General features: G+C 36.8%; 1 protein-coding gene and 1 long non-coding RNA gene across 8 annotated transcripts in view; both read left to right on the top strand.

Moving 5' to 3' along the window:
• The window catches only part of CTNNA3 (catenin alpha 3), a 1,851,072-nt gene that overhangs the window by 841,907 nt on the left and 991,119 nt on the right, over positions 1 to 18,046 (top strand). The gene's annotated exons all lie outside the window — the stretch shown is intronic.
• Positions 1 to 18,046, top strand: part of LOC101928961 (uncharacterized) — a 118,044-nt gene that overhangs the window by 90,466 nt on the left and 9,532 nt on the right. Inside the window, exons 4-5 of the long non-coding RNA NR_111911.1 lie at positions 11,195 to 11,455; positions 14,142 to 14,350. This is a non-coding gene — a long non-coding RNA (uncharacterized LOC101928961). The remainder of the gene's footprint in view (positions 1 to 11,194; positions 11,456 to 14,141; positions 14,351 to 18,046) is intronic.

Genomic DNA, 18,046 nt, shown 5'->3' with positions numbered 1-18,046 from the left:
TAGGATGGTTAGGGCCATTAAGAAACTGGCCTGAGCAAACCTTGAAGGATATGAGCTTGTGAGACTTAAATGTATATATGGGGAGTGGCCAGTGCAAAGGCCTAATGTGGAAGCAGATCATGTGTTCCATGAACAACAAGGAGGCCAATGAGTCTAGAATGGAGAGACCAAGTGATAGAATAATTGGAGATGGAGGTCATGGAGGGCTTTGGATGACATTCTAAGAATACTGGCTTTATTATGGAGAAAACGGGGAGCTAACTGGAGATTTTTGTGCAGAGTTAGTATGTGATCAAATAACCTATTAAAAGGATCACTGCTGTGGATCGGATGTTCTCATTTACCGTCCCCAAAAGCCATATATTGAAACCCCAATTCCCAATGTGATGGTATTTGGAGATAGAGCATTTGTGAGGTAATTAGGTCATGGTATTGGAGCCCTCATGACAGATCAGTGGGATTATAAGGATAAAAAGAGACAGAAATGAGAGAGCTTGCTTCTTCTCTCTCTCTGCTACAAGAGAAGGCAGCTATTAAGAAGCCAGAAATCAGGCTGTCTTTGACATCAGGTCTTCTGTTACCTTCATTTTGGACTTCCCAGCCATTAGAACTGTGAGAAATAAATGCTTACTGTTTAAACCACCCAGGATATAGTATTTTTGTTTATAGAAGCACAGACTGACTGAGATGATCACTCTTAGCAGGGGACACAGTAACGAGGCCACCATATCAATCCAGGAGATAGATGATGGTGTTTGGGCCAGGGTGTTAGCAGTGGAAGTGGTGAGCATTGGTTAGATTCGGGATATATTTACAATAAAATCAACAGAACTTTTCTAAGGAAATAGAAGTGGAGGTATGAAATAAAGAGGGAAAGTAAAGATGGTTCATTTTTATTGGCTAAGCAACCCTAGGGATGGTGAAGCCATAACTGTTTTCGTGGGTCACATTTTGTGAGCAAGACCAAGAGTTTAACACATTTGGATTAAATCTGGATTTGGCTCTTGCTTTCCTTCATTTTTATGAGACTTTAGTTCTTGAAAATATTTCTTAATCTTAAGCCTCAAAGCACCATGATATATTTTTAAATATTTTAAAGGTAGTTTTTGAACAGAAAGTTATGAAATGATTTGCAAAATTAGCCCCCAAACAATAGCAAATGGATTTCCATTCAAATGAACTAGACAGAGGCAACATCTTTGCATATGGCCTTGGAGGGCAGTAGAGCCAAAAGATTTGATGAAAATCTAAATGCGAGATTGCATAAAGACTAGGTAAGGAAACATTTGGACTCAACACATGTACTGTTTATTGCATATGTCAGTTGACATTTGGAATTTGGAACTGATTCTGTGCAAACTTCTTTGGGTCTCAGTTTGCTCATCTGCAAAATGGGACTTATAAAACCTGACTTATAAACTTTTAAGGATTTTTACTTAGGAACCATTTTCATGATTTATGAGTAAGTACATTGTACAATATTTATAAAGTGTTACAGATATTTCTGCAATCAGAGTATCTATGACAAAATTAATTTTCCCTTGATTCTGTATAGGTTCTGTGGCCATGAGCATATATTAAGGGTTATCAAGGGTCATGAACATGACCAAGGACATGCCAGAATTTACTAATATTATAGGAAACATTCCTCAGTATTTCTTTTCTACTAATTTTAATACCACAACCATTTATTATACAGAATACACCATTGATATTCTGTGTATTCGCTTATAAAGTACTTTCACCAATAGACGCATTTGATTTAGCTTTTGTAAAGAGTTTAATGTTTGTGACCCAACAATATATCAGGGTTGTCAGAATGCCAATATAGAGTTTCCTACAGCTGTGAAAATAATTTTCTTCATTTCTAGTTAGAATACTCATATGCATGTCTACATTTGTAATTATATCCAGATCTTCATCAGAGCATTAACACTTCCCTGAAATATCCTTGATTTCCATCTGCTTGCTTTAAGGGCTCCATTAAAAACCCTGTCTGGTCACATATGGTTATGAGTGAATATCTCTGACTTAGATAAATGAATAAAGAATATTCCAGGTCTGACCATTAAAATGGTCTCTCAGTGTCTTTCTGGGAAAAGACAAATTTAATGAATGAGACATTGCAAGGTTATCCAACATGTCTCCCTCCCATTCACCTGAAGATACATTTATGCAGCAGCGTCAATCCATATTCTCAGGTTTTATTGCATTCCTCACTGTCACTTCCTGCAAAGGTAGTCCTAAGGTAAATATGGGAATACAGAAATCTAGCCAACACTATAAACTTCAGTGGCAGACTTATGAAGGCTGAAAAGACTATATGACTTCAAGGAAATACTTTTTTTTCTTCCTTTCAGTAGGAAAGGTAAAGCATACGCAAAAGTTGAGAGGCTAGTATAATAAATATCAACTCCAAAAATTATTACTATTTTGCTAATTTTATTTCGTCGATACTCACACCTCTTCCCACATAAGTGCAATATTTTTTTCTTTCTGGAGTATTTTAAAAGCAAATCTTCAACATATGTCTTTTTTTTTTTTTTTTTTTTTAAGACAGAGTCTCGCTCTGTCACCCAGGCTGGAGTTCAGTGGCACGATCCCGGCTCACAGCAACCTCTGCCTCCCGGGTTGAAGTGATTCTTGGGCCTCAGCCTCCCAGGTAGCTGGGACTACAGGTGCCTGCCACCACGCCCGGCTAATTTTTTGTATTTTTAGTAGAGACAGGGTTTCACCGTGTTAGCCAGGATGGTCTCAATCTCCTGACCTTGTGATCTGCCCGCCTCAGCCTCCCAAAGTGCTGGGATTACAGGCATGAGCCACCGCACCCAGCCAACATATGTCTTTATAACCTCTCTCTCTCTCTCTATTTATCTATCTACACACATGCACATTTCAGGATGCATTCCTAACAGCCTTTTAATTTAACCATCTAGCATTATTATACCTAATAAAATTAACAAGTTCTTCAAGTAGGTTTGTTCGTATCAAGATCTTAGAAAAAGCCCACACATTGCATTTGTTTTTGATGTATTTGAAGTCTCTTTCATTTTGTAATGCCATTGATGTGTTGGATGCCACGTCATTTGGACTTTAGCTTTTTCCATGTTCTGCATTTGGTGGTTTTCCCATTGTAGGCTTTAACTTGCACATAGTCAGTTTTCATGGCATATATGTTTAACAAGAGTCTATTCATTAATTTGAGCAGAATATCCAGCCCCAAAGTGGATATTTGGGGCATCTATTCATTCTTGGTAGCAGTTTAAGATTTGAAGAACTTTTGAGTAATACAGGACTTAGAGCTTAGAGTAAAGTTGTACTTCTACTTTGTGGTATTTATGCCATCAGAGAATTCAGGAATGCGCTAAATGGCAAGTTTGAGAACTTTATTGGTTAACATTCATATCACCAGGATTTCTGTTCTTCACATCCCATCACAATTGCCTTTTTACCCTTAGCAACAGCAATTATTTGTTGTTGGTACTTGCTAAATAAATCTGCTAATTTTTGTATTGCCATTGAAGTGTTCATCTAACTGAGGCACAAAAAATTCTTATTAATAGGATAGCAATCAAAATTCATTTGTAGTCACTTAAGCTGAGAGAAATCAGTTTTCTAGCTTTTCTTTCAGAACAAATTCCATCAAGAAACATGTGGCACCAGAGTCACATTGTAAAACGTCTAGTTTTATATATATTCCTAAATTTCCTGTATTTTCTCACAGTGGAGAAAAGACTTTTAGAGGGACTATAAAAACCTCTTAACCAAATTTATACCTTAATATTTGATGTTTTACTTTGCATCTATGACTGTGCTTTGAATGTAAAGTCAGTCAGTGTTCTTTAAATGGTATCATAACATTTTGCTATATCCACTTCACATGTATTCTGATGTGACAAGAGTTTTTGAAGAAAATTTCATATTGTATTTTTAAAGCACTGTATATAATAGTTTCAACTGGATACACTGGTGTGTTTTAAAATTCGACTTCCTGGCAATTATATCAGCATTAGGAATTAAATTCCCCAGTCACCAGGAGGAGAAAGATAATAGACAATCTTGATTTTGATAAAGAAACAGCTATGCCATAGGTTGGTTTTATTTTTGTTTCTGAAACAATGTCTGATTTAAAAACGTTTTTATTTTAGGGCCCAGATCTGAAAGATATTAAACTTCTGACAAATGAGAATCCCTGCATAGTTTGCAATGAAGTAGCAGAGAACAGGAGTCTGTGGGTCCTTATATTACTCTAAAATATATCAGCCTATATGTCAAACCAGAGGATCCTTCCTTATACTGTTAGTACTTGGTAGCTGTAGCTGTGGCCATTCCCAGTTGAACAGTTCCCTTAAGAATGTTGGGGAATGCTTAGGATACTCTTGCAACTAACAGCAGAGCCCCCATGTGCCAATATTGTAACTCGAGCAAAAATTTACTTAGTCCCGGGTAGCAAATGCCACAGATCCTTAATAAAAATAAAATTAACTTGTTTATTCAATGAGTATTTATTAAACTCTTACACTGTTCTTCGTGCTGGGGATACAGTAGTGAATAAGACAAAGTGCCTTCCACTGGAGGACTTCTTGCATTCTTGTTGATGAGATGGTAAAAAATAAAAATAGCTACACACTGCAATGTCAACTAGTAATAAGTGCTGTGAAGAAGACTAACAAGGATGAGGGCAATGACCATTTGATACTGTGGCCAGAAAAATCCCTTTCTGAGTTGTTGACGTTGGAGAGCAAGTAGGGAGCAACTCACATAATCCTGTCACCTTAGATGTAATCTCCTTTTGGGTTTTCATTGGCCACCATTAAAAAGGAAAAGAAAATTGTTTTTTTATATACTCCACACTTCTGACACCAGGGTGTGGAGTTTTTCCATACCAACCAATTCTCCAACTCTCTGGACATCAACTGAGTGTCCTGCAATTCAATTTCCCCCCAGCACCTCCTTACCTCTTCCTTACTGATTTTCTTTCATTTCCACTTTGTCTCCAGGTGCCTGTGGTGACCCAGTTCTTTTTGGACATTTTTCCACTTATCAACAAATGAATCCTATGGTATTAGCTGATAATGGCTTATAGTATTAGCTTTCTCAGGATTCTTGAAATTTAATAGGTGAGTCTGAGAAATGGAAAGTATTAAGGAAGCACAGAGAACTGCATTTTATGCACATACTGTAGCTTAAAAAGCAAATAGGAGAAAAGGCCTGTATTAAAAACATTCATCCTTGCTCTTCCCTCTCAATTTCTTACCAATTACTCTTTTTAGGTGCAATCATTTTATTTTAGCTACTGTTTAATTCTTATAATATTTTTGAATTTTGTTGATATTTTAATTTCTTGCTATTTTAACTGAGGATTCAGTATCATTTACTCTCCCTGCTTCCCATGTTAATATGTTATTATTACAGTATTAAATAAATAGGCGATATGACTCACAATCACTGTGTAAACAAAGACACTGATGAATTAAGTGGTGTACTAGACTGTGTTGCCATTCTCATTCAGCGTTTTGCTTTTCTTGCAGTTTAAGGATTGTTCCTATTTTCTTTCTCTCTCTACCTCTTTTACATTTGCTTTTTTGTCTGTATCTAGGGCTTGTTGTTTGTCCCAACATTTAAAAATATATGTCAAGGACTGGGCACAGTAGTTCAAACCTGTAATCCCAGCCCACTTTGGGAGGCCAAGGTGAGCAGATCACCAGGTCAAGAGATTGAGACCATCCTGGCCAACATGGTGAAATCCCATCTCTACTAAAAATACAACAATTATCTGGGCGTGGTGGCAGGCGCCTGTAGTCCCAGCTACTCAGGATGCTGAGGCAGGAGAATCGCTTGAACTCGGGAGGCAGAGGTTGCAGTGAGCTAAGATTGCACCACGGCACTCCAGCCTGGCTACAGAGCGAGGCTCCATCTAAAAAAAAAAAAAAAATGTATATATGTATATATGTGTGTGTGTGTATATATATATATTATATATATATATATGTCAAATGCCGAAGCTTTCCAAACACTCAGGCATTTCAGATAATCCTATTTGCCTGCAGCACTCCATTTCTTGGCTCCAATATCCAATTCTAGCTATGTACCTAGTACTTCACCATTTTCCAGAACAGGATCCCTATTTCCTGGATTCCATGTATTTATTTTCTTAGTTTACCACTCATTTTGTTGAAGCACCTTCCACTAATAGATTTTTAGGAAAGGGTGCATGTGAAATAAAAATTTCATGTCTAAGTTTTTTAGTCCAGTATTACTGATTGATAGATTGCTGTAATATAATTCTGGGTGGTAAATAATTTTCCCTCAGAATCTTTGAGACATTGAATTACTGTCTTCCCATACCACTGTCACTGTAGAGAATCAGACAATATTCTGATTCTTATTTCTTTGTGTATGATCTATTTTTTTCCTCTGTATGATACTTTCTTCCCTCCTGGTATTCGGAAATTGTTTACAGATATACTTTGGTTCGTGCTTTTTTTTTTTTTTCGTTAGTTTTTGGGCAGTCAGTGAGCTTTTTAAATATGGAGACGTGTCCTTCAGTTCTATACAAATGTATTGTATGTTTCAAAAAATGATCTCTCCACATTTTTCTTTGTTCTCTTTCTCTGAAACTTCTATTGGACAAATTTTGGATTTCCTGGATTGATCCTTTGGTTTTTCTTTCCTATTTTCCATCTCTTTATCTCTTTCCATCCTACAGAGTAATGTCTATGCTTTATGATCCAATCTTTTATTTATTTATTACAAATTTTGGCCAGATGTCAGAAGATTATGGCACAATCAAATCCAGCAATGATACCACTGGGTCAAGCAATATAAATAAAATTAAGTTTTTGTAAATAAAGAAACATTCATGTGCATTCTTTTATGCATTGTCTATGGTTGTCTTCAAGCTACAATGGCAGAGTTGAGAGATGGCAAATCCTGCAACTTAGAATATTTACTACGTGGCCTTTTACAGAAACAGTTTGCTGATCCCCCAACTCCCATCCTAATTTAGGTGATCATATTGGTTAGCTCCATGAGCTCTTTTTAAGTTATCTTTTTGCCCCTTCTTCATAGCATACTGTTACTCTCATGGATGTGCCATTTTTTCTCACTGTGAGGATATTATTTGCAGTTTTTTTTTTTTTTTTGGTGGTATACTGCTTGCTGCGGTGCCACTACTTCTTCTGAGGTAATTTAGCCAGTTCGTGTTGGCCCATTTCATGTTGGAGGCGTTTCTCTACGGTTAAGATTCTTCTGTGTTCATTCATATTAATGAGTGAATCACTAAAAACTGATAGAAAGTACCCTGCCGGAGGGCAGATCATGAGGTCAGGAGATCGAGACCATCCTGGGTAACATGGTGAAACCCTGTCTCTACTAAAAATACAAAAAATTCTCCGGCCGTGGTAGCAGGTGCCTGTAGTCCCAGCTACTGGGGAGGCTGAGGCAGGAGAATGGCGTCAACCTGGGAGGCAGAGTTTGCAGTGAGCCGAGATCGTGCCACTGCACTCCAGCCTGGGGGACAGAGTGAGACTCTGTCTCAAAAAAAAAAAAAAAAAAGAAGGCACCCTGCCAGTGGGCAAGGTTTTGGTGGTGGATTTTGTGTTAGCAAGATTAGACAGAGAGCTTGCTTCAGGTACATGTATTTAGACTCCACTCCCCACACACCCAGAGAAGACTGCCAACCGCTCCTACATGGAAGATGTACACCTGCTACCAGTGTTCTGGGGGCAAGGCAGGGAAAGGGTGCTGGGTGCCCCAAGTTCAACATGTACATTCTCATTTTAGTCTTAGGTTGTCAGTCCCAAGTCTCACTGCTATGCCTAGTATACTTCAGTGTAGCTTTTCAGGTTTGAATTTGCCAGAAAATAAACTCTTTTCTGTTAGAGGGATGGGGTAGTCTTTTGATTGCTTGGGGTAAAGACCGAAATCTGGCAGTTGATCTCGCTCTATGAAGATCAGTCCCCATCTTTTTTGTGACCCCTACTTCTGGTGCTTCTCATGACTTTTATGGCGCGACATAAGGTCCCCCTTCAGTAAGCACTTAGACTGTAGCTGCCTTGACTCTACCATGTATTCTGTTCTCCAAAAATTTGTAGAAATTGTTCATTCATTCCTCTTTTCTCTATCCTCATTTGTATTCATTTGTCATTGCTTGAGTTTTGACGTGAAAGAGACAATAAAAGCATGCGATCAATCTGCCGTGTTTCAGATATGGATTTCTCATGACAGATTTCAGGCATGGCAGATGATACTGGAAGGATGCCGTATGAATTAAGACTGTAGCCCAAGGTTGAAAATGGGAGCTGAAGATCTTTGTAAAAGTGAGATGCTGTCCTCCTTTGTTATCCATATCCTCCAATGTATTTTGCACTAGTGTCATTTTAAGGTCTCTTACTATGTACTCATTTCTTTTTTCTTTTTCTTTTTTTTTTTTTTTTTTTTTTTTTTTGAGACGGAGTCTCGCTCTTTCGCCCAGGCCGGACTGCAGTGGCGCGATCTCGGCTCACTGCAAGCTCCGCCTCCCGGGTTCACGCCATTCTCCTGCCTCAGCCTCCCGAGTAGCTGGGACTACAGGCGCCTGCCACAGCGCCCGGCTAATTTTTTGTATTTTTAGTAGAGACGGGGTTTCACCGTGTTAACCAAGATGGTCTCGATCTCCTGACCTCGTGATCCGCCCGCCTCGGCCTCCCAAAGTGCTGGGATTACAGGCATGAGCCACCGCGCCCGGCCTATGTACGCATTTCTTAATACAACTTTTAAATTGGAAGAAGCTTGGATATATTGTATTTACTTGTGGCTTCCTTGGCTGTATAGTTCGTTAAGGGTGTCTGCCATTATTTCATTTACTCTACTGTGGGAGTGATTAAAATGTTCCCCCGTGTGTTCATTTATTTATGAATTTTGAATCATCACTTTGATGAGGTTTCTCCCACATCCTCCTTTTAGCCTAGACCAACCTGCTAATATCAGCAAGCCCAGCAGCCTCCAAAAATGCTAGGAAAAAATATTTTTTACTACCGTTCTTGGGGGTTATATCTTACTATAGATATTGAGGGAATGTATTTGGTGGAAATAGGATGACTCTTCCTGGTGTTGTGTTCATGCACACTAAATTTGCTTTGGCATCTTATACTTTGTATTTATTATAACTTTGCAAACTTAAATGTTTTCAATATCTTACAGGTGTTTAATTTTCCTGAGCCCAATGTTTCTTCTAAAAAAAAGAACTTTTAATTTTTAATGAAATAGAATAGAATTTTATGTAAACTTTTAAAAGAAACAAACTATACCCTATTGGTATCTGTATTCATTTTCCTACTTTTTTGTATCAAGATTTTGTTTTTAATTATTATCATTTATGCTTTGGAATACTTTGCTATTTTCAAATTTGTATTTGTTATTTTATAGTAAAAAACTAGAAAACCTGAATTTGATACATATGTGTATGGTTCTGGTGGTGGTGTGGTGTGTGAGGGTGAGTGTGTGTTTACAACTCTAGGAAGTAGAGGTTTACAAGTAAATTTAAACTTCAAATAGGCAACCACTTATGTATAATCCAAATCTGTAATCTTCTGATGATGCAGTATGGGCCTGTATGCAAAATCTGGTAATAGTAATGTAAAATTTCTTCTCTTCATTGGCTATATTTGAGGCCAGACTTTTTCTATTTAGTTAAAGTCATGAAAATATTTTTGATTTAGTGTATTCAATTTTCAATCATTGTGTTTTCCTTTTGAAATACTCTAGGCTTCTGCCTAGAGAAACCAAAACAGTTAAACATGTCATTATATGTTCAGGCCATTAGTCCTGATTCTTAGGCTTTATATATTTTCTGTGGGTAGTTCTAAACGACTTGAGAGGTTTTACATAATTTCAAGTGGCTTACAAGCTTTGCAAGTTAAACTTGGAAAATATTGTAGTAATACCAAGTAGTAGTGACATAAAGGCTTAAGAGACTCACGTAATTGGGATTTTGAGATTATTTTGTCCAATTCACATTTTACAGATTTAAAAATGTAGACCAGAGAGATGAAGTAACTGGTTCAATTAATATACGACACAGATACAAGACTTTGAGTAGAGCCTAGATCCTTTGAGATTAGTCTATTTCTTATAATCATTCTGTCTTCTTTGAAGTCAAATCAATGTTTTTGTACAATGTGAAAAACAGTAGTTGACACTTTATATAACTTTTTTCCTAACCTCATATAGATTTAACTAGACCACTAGGACTTAAAATCTGTTTTGTTAAATAGAAAGGAAACAAACAAGTCTTCAATTATTCTCTAAGTTTGTTTTCTTTGCATTATAATAGTGATATATATTTATTATAAAACATGAACCATGATCTCGCCATCCAAAAGTAATCCTTACTAATATTGGGAACTATACAAATTTTTTATTAACTTGAATTTAATGCATGGCATTCTTTGCCATGGGCAAAACAATTCTTTTAAGTTCCTCCTACTGTTGGAAATGTATAGAACGGTCTTTATTAATGTTGAATTATACAGACTTTCCCTTAAGTAACTGAAACGTGCATAATTGGCTCTGAAAAGGAAAGAAATTACTAATATTCTAGCACACATAATCTATCTTCCACATGGCTAGCATAATATTTTAAGTAGAAAGTTATTCCCCTTCAAGTAACAAGGTAAACAAAAGAATTATTGCTTCCTTCTTGTTTGAAATTTGGTTAGGCCTCAGTGGAATGGCTCAAAGGGCAACTTCAGAATGGTCTTACTACTTTCCCAATATACTATCTAAAATTGCTTACGTTGCTGTCTTCTTTAAATCCCATGAATAGCTCACTGTGACCTCTGGTTAAATAGCGACTCATTGTCATGACGCACAAGGTTGTCATTTTGTTTATATTTTTGTTAAAGGCAAACAATTGGTTTTCAAGAAGAGCGGAAACCAAACTGGAGAGGCATCCATAGCTTCATTTCAGTGCTCTGCCACTTTGCTTTTCTCCACGTCACCTGTCTTGTGTTCACCTCTGTTCTGCCTCACAGCTCTAGCTTATTCATGGTTTTTGCTCGCCATGGAGTTGGCTTTACATGTTATCTTCAATGCCTACATGCTACCTTGTGACTGTCTTAGTTGTACTGAAAATCAGTTCATTCTTTTGATAGTTTTCTGTTTAAAATTCTAGAGAATAAAATTCTGATTTTTTTTCCATGCCATCTTATAGGTTGCTATCTGGCTTATGAGTTGGCTATTCTAGGAAAAGGTGATCACCCTAAGTTTCCAGCAGAAGTGATGGTTAAGGGTAGTGATAAAGTTGGTAGAGTCATATTGTATAAGACTTGGCAGATGCTTTAAGCGAGGCCATGAAGGACAAAGAATTCAACTTGATACAAAGATTATTTACCATCTGGCTTAAATCTACCCTTTTGTCATTACTTGCACTTACTAACCAAGATGCTATGCATACCTGCAATACAGCCACACTGTAAGTATTTATTATTTATTATTCCCCGAACAAGCCATTTTCTAGCTGACTTTAAATCACTGTTTATGCTACTCTCTCTTATTGGAATAGTCTTCCTTTAGTTTTTATCTGGTGAAATCTTCTATAAGATGTATCTAAAACATTATAATCTTCATAAACATTTTCTAGGGATTTTGGTGACTTCCTCATAAGCACTTTTATAAACCATTTATATATGCCATATAAATGCATAGTATTAAATTGTTTATTTGCCCTTTTCCCCATAGAATATTCTTTAAATTCAGGGATTGTGGTGTTTCATTCATCTCTGAATTCTACTTTTAACAGATAATGGATACTCAATATATGTGTGTTGAAAAGAAAACATTAAGATGATGCAGAAGTAGCTACTCCTAATGGCTATATCATTATCATAATTATGGTTCTCTGGGAATACCTGTAGTTGATTCACAAATCTGTTACCCAAGATGTGATAAGTGCAAGCGGAAAGTATGTACTAAGCATGAAACTCACTCAAAATTTGGGCCAATTAACCAGAGTACTGGTGTATTTTTCACCATTTGGTCTCTATTTGACTAACAAGTGTTGCAGATGGATTTTTATTGCTCTCTTATTTGCTTCCAATCTGAGTAATTGGTTGGAGGAAATTTCCTGTTCTGAAGGAAATTTCATTTGTGTCCGAAGGTAGTGATTTATTTATTTATTTATTTATTTATTTATTTTGAGATGGAGTTTTGGTCTTGTTGCCCAGGCTGGAGTGTAATGGTGCAATCTTGGCTCACCACAACCTCCACCTCTGGGTTCAAGCAATTCTCCTGCATCAACCTCCTGAGTAGATGGGATTACAGGCATGTGCCACCATGCCCTGCTAATTTTTGTATTTTTAGTAGAGATGGGGTTTCTCTGTGTTGGCTGGTCTCGAACTCCCAGCCTCAGGTGATCCATCTGCCTTGGCCTCCTAAATTGCAGGGAATACAGGAATGAGCCACCGCGCCCGGCTGGTAGTGATCTTGTATTTACTCCTGATTTGGGGTGTTTGTCAACATGTACAGGGGCAATTTGGGGACAATTCCTTATTTGGAGCTGTTTACTCTTCCTGTTTCTTACCTCTAGTATTATCGCAAGTGGCTCCTAGCTTAAGTGGGCTTTCAATGAGGACCTTACTGGAAATACCTGTAGCCTAAATAAATAAATAAAAACTTGCCAACAATACCGTGTCAAGAAGGCTGGCTTTAAAATCCAGCTTGAAGAAGCCTCATTTAAATGACTGTTTGTAATCTGGTCCTCATATGTCTACCATGTGCTACTTCCCATTCTAGGTGCTGAAGAATTAAGAGAAAAGATACATTTCCACACTTGTGGCGTTTACAATCTAATCTGGCATATCATAAACACTTGTTACAATGTGTGTAGGGAGTGCTAGCATGAAAAAAGCACAGGGTGCTTTGTGACTCCATAAAAATGGCACTATCCAGACTCAACTTACAGGGGAAAAACCTGAATTAAGTGCCAGCAAAGCAAAACTACTATAATAAAAATGAATTTTTTTAAAAAAAAACAATGATTAATCTAGCCATAGCAGCAGCTAGAATACTCTTATTCATTTTATAAGTTCTCAGTTTATGCTCGATAGAGATGGTTGACACAAGTTAGGAAACTTAACCTAAGTAGTATTCAGCATGACCAGGACTTCTTAGAGAACATCCATAACATATTGGACGATGAAAAACCACTTCATAGTGTCTTTGGTAGTCTGCACCAGCCTTTCATTCTAAACATTCGGTAAAGCAGGTGAAATGCAATGGTGACAGCTTTGATGAGATCCTTGTCCACAAATACCCTAACTTGACTGAAAGAAATGTGAGCCTGTTGTCAGAAATAATTGTGTCTGGCAGCCTGTATGCTACAAGAAACTGGCATGGAGTCACATTGTCATCCCAGAGGCTTGAGGTAGAAGTGAAAGACTTGATGTCACTGTGAGAAGCAGTATACTAAAGGGCAAAGTTTTCATCTCATAACAAGATCAATGTGAAGTCCTGGTCCAACTCTTTTGGTCTTTTCCCACTGGAAAATTAGGTGTCTTACTCAGTTATGCCAAGTAGCCTGGCATGTGGCATGTACTAACTTCCTTTAGACTTTTCAATATCAGAATTAATTTGAGGCCATCAAATAGAACTTCTAGCCAAGACTTTCAAGTAGACAATTCCCAGATGTGCTATGTGTAGTGAAGCCAAGATAATGTCTTCTGAAATCATAATGTAACTTCTCTACAAAATACATCCCTCATGTTAAGAAAATTCATATGGATGTTTTGAGATTGGCTTTAATTTTTTTGGTCAGTTCCTATGATAGCCTTCACCATATTTGCTTTATGACAAGGGACAGTCTGGGTTTCTTTTAATTTAATTACCTTATTTCATCAGCTTGAAAATAAGAATCAAGGAAGCCTTCACTTATCTAATCTTCCAGTGGTAGTGGCACATATGTTTTGATATCTGTTGGGGTAGATATTCCCAACTACTTGATATTGATGATGTTCTCTGAACTATAATTGATGGTAGAGTGAATAGAAAACTTAAATCATTGCGCAAACTCATCAGGTATATAAATCTGAAAGTTCCTAACATGGGATATTGAGAGCTAGAAGTCTGGCAGGAACATAATACAAGTTTTTCTTTGCTTTAAGATGGAAATCCTCTCAAAATAAGGATTTCAGGAAGCAACTGAAAGGATATCAACCCTTTCAATACAGTTGTCAGCACATATTTTTCAAAGAGAGGAGAAAAAGAAGTATTTATTTGTAGATTATGGATTGTCTACCTGAAATATCTAAGAGGCTCAAGTGAAAAGTTATTAGTACCAGAAAAAGAGTATAACAACTAGGAAAATTACAAAGTAAGTATACAAAAGCAATTGCTTCATATTTGTTTTCAAACTGCTTATTGTTACTAAAACACAAAAAGACTTACAAATTAGTGAAATTGAAAAAAATCTCACAAATTATAACTTACCTCTGAGTAAGCTTAAGAAATGTGCACAGTTTATACCTAGAAAATAGAAATGAAAGTGGCAATGCTAATGACAAGAGAAATGTTATTGAGGGACAGAATGAACAGAGATACATTTTTGAATTGAAAGAATCAATAGCTTAAATTAATCAGTGTATAAATTCAATGCAGCCTGATCAAAACCTCAGTAGGATTTTTTTGTATCTAATTCTATATTTTAATGTTTTTTATTGTTTAGCATTATGTTATGTAAATTTCCAAACATACACAAAAGTCAAGAGAATAATTAATGGACTTCCCTGTATGTGTCGCTCAGGCTCAGTGTCAGCAGTTACTAGCATAAAGCCAGAGTTTATTTACTTATACTCCCAGTTATACCCCACCCTCATGGATCATCTTGAAGCAAATCTCAAACATCATATAATTCATCTCAGTGTAACTCTAAAAGAGACGCACTAAAAAAAAATGCTATAATGCTATCATTCTACTTTAAAAAGTTAGCAAAAATTTGATGACTTCGAATCAAATACCAGTCAACACCAAATTCAATATGCACACACAAACACAAACACACACACACACTGTCAATTTTTGAAACAGGATCAAAAGTAGTTCCTCATATTGTATCGAAAAATTAATTGTAGATTAATATAAGTCTACAATTCCTTTAAACTTGAAAGACTGGTGCAGACTACCAAAAGACACTCTGAAGTGGACCTTTGAAGATACTTTTGAAGATAGACTTTCTCTTCTATTTTCCACTTGTATTCTATTTGTTAAAGAAACTGGGTTATTTGTCCTGTAGAATTTCCCACTTTTGGATGTTGTTGAATGCATCTCCATGATATGGCTTAAAATTTTCCTCTGATCCTTTGCTTCCTGTAAGCTATTTCTAGGCATAGAGTTTTGATCAGATCCAGGTTTGATGTTTTGGCAAGAATACTTCATTCAAGATGCTGAGTTCCTTCTACTGCATTCTATCAGGAAGCCCATAATATCTAATATCTCTTCGTTATGGTGTTAAGATTGATCCTTAGATTTAAGTGTGGTTGGCCTGATTCACCCATTATCAAGTTCCCTGTCAACTATTCATCTAATGCTTTAGTAGTCACTGATGATTATTACATAGATCTATTTGTTCAACAGAGATTGTAAAATAGTAATATTCTGTTATTCCTTTTTCATTTATTAGCTGGAATTCTAAAGTTTTTATTAAAATATTTTTATTATGGTAAGAACCCTTAACATGAGATCTACTTCTTAACAAAATTTTAAGTGCACAAAACAGTATTATTAACTATAGGCACAATGTTGTACACAGATCTGTAGGATTTATTTATCTTTTATAAATGAATCTTTATAGCTATTAAAAAGCAATTTTCTCTTTCCTCCTCACCCAATGCCTGGCAACCACCATTTACTCTCTGTGAATTTGACTATTTTAGATACCTCATGTAAGTGAAATTATGTATTTGTCCTTCCATGACTGGCTTATTTCACTTAGCGTAATGCATGTAGCAAAATTTCCTTCTGTTTTTAGGCCAAACACTACTCCACCATTATGTGTATATACCATGTTTTTCTTTATCTAGTCATGATCAATGGGCAATTAGGTGCTTGTTATATCTTGACTATTACGAATATTGCTGCAATTAACATGGGAGGGCAGATATCTCTTCAAGATCTTGATTTCAATTTTTTAAAAATTATGCTTTAAGTTCTAGGGCACATGTGTACAACATGTAGGTTTGTTACATTGGCATACATGTGGCATGTTGGCTTGCTGCACCCATCAACTCGTCATTTACATTCGGTATTTCGCCTAATGCTATCCCTTCCCCAGTCCTCCAACCCCCAATAGGCCCCAGAGTGTGATGTTCCCTGCCCTGTGTCCATGTGTTCTTATTGTTCAATTCCCACCTATGAGTGAGAACATGTGGTGTTTGGTTTTCTGTCCTTGTGATAGTTTGCTGAGAATGATGGTTTCCAGCATCATCGATGTCCCTGCAAAGGACATGCACTCATCTTTCTTATGGCGTCATAGTATTCCATGGTGTATATGTGCCACGTTTTCTTAATCCAATCTATTATTGATGGACATTTGGGTTGGTTCCAAGTCTTTGCTATTGAGAATAGTGTCACAATAAACACACGTGTGCATGTGTCTTTATAGTAGCATGATTTATAATCCTTTGGGTATATACCCAGTAATGGGATGGCTGGGTCAAATGGCATTTCTACTTCTAGATCCTTGAGGAATTGCCACACTGTCGTCCATAATGGTTGAAATAACTTACACTCCCATCAACGGTGTAAAAGCGTTCCTATTTCTCCACATCCTCTCCAGCATCTGTTGTTTCCTGACTTTTTAATGATCACCATTCTAATTGGCATGAGATGGTATCTCATTGTGGTTTTGATTTGCATTTATCTGATGACCAGTGATGATGAGCATCTTTTCAAGTGTGTGTTGGCTGCTGCATAAATGTCTTCTTTTGAGAAGTGTCTGTTCATATCCTTTGCCCACTTTTTGATGGGGTTGTTTGTTTTTTTCTTGTAAATTTGTTTGAGCTCTTTGTAGATTCTGGATATAAGCCCTTTGTCAGATGGGTAGATTGTAAAATTTTTCTCCCATTCTGTAGCTTGTCTGTTCGCTCTGATGATGGTTTCTTTTGCTGTGCAGAAGGTCATTAGTTTAACTTGATCCCATTTGTCTATTTTGGCTTTTGTTGCCATTGTTTTTGGTGTTTTAGTCATGAAGTCTTTGCCCATGCCTATGTCCTGAATGGTATTGCCTGGGTTTTCTTCTAGGGTTTTTGGGGTTTTAGGTCTTACATTTAAGTCTTTAATCCATCTTGAATTAATTTTTGTATAAGATGTAAGGAAGGGATCCAGTTTCAGCTTTCTACATATGGCTAGCCAGTTTTCCCAGCACCATTAATTAAATAGGGAATCCTTTCCCCATTTCTTGTTTTTGTTAGGTTTGTCAAAGATCAGATGGCTGTGGATGTGTTATTTCTCAGGCCTCTGTTCTGTTCCATTGGTCTATATATCTGTTTTGGTACCAGTACCATGCTGTTTTGGTTACTGTTGCCTTGTAGTATAGTTTGAAGTCAGGTAGTGTGATACCTTGTTCTTTTTGCTTAGGATTATCTTGGCTATGCAGGCTCCTTTTTGGTTCTATATGAACTTTACAGTAGTTTTTTCCAATTCTGTGAAGAAAGTCATTGGTAGCTTGGTGAGGACGACTTTGAATCTATAAATTACCTTGGGCAGTACGGCCATTTTCATGATGTAAATTCTTCCTATCCATGAGCATGGAATGTTCTTCCATTTGTTTGTGTCCTGTTTTATTTAATTGAGCAGTGGTTTGTAGTTCTCCTTGAAGAGGTCCTTCACATCCCTTGTAAGTTGGATTCCTAGGTATTTTATTCTCTTTGTAGCAATTGTGAATGAGAGTTCACTCATGATTTGGCTCTCTGTTGGTCTGTTATTGGTGTATGGGAATGCTTGTGATTTTTGCACATTGATTTTGTATCCTGAGACTTTGCTGAAGTTGCTTATCAGCTTAAGGATATTTTGG

Source organism: Homo sapiens, chromosome 10 (assembly GCF_000001405.40).
Source record: "Homo sapiens chromosome 10, GRCh38.p14 Primary Assembly".
Taxonomy (NCBI): Eukaryota; Metazoa; Chordata; class Mammalia; order Primates; family Hominidae; genus Homo; species Homo sapiens.
The sequence above is the reverse complement of the archived record's forward strand: the minus strand, read 5'-3'. Positions and strand labels throughout refer to the sequence as shown.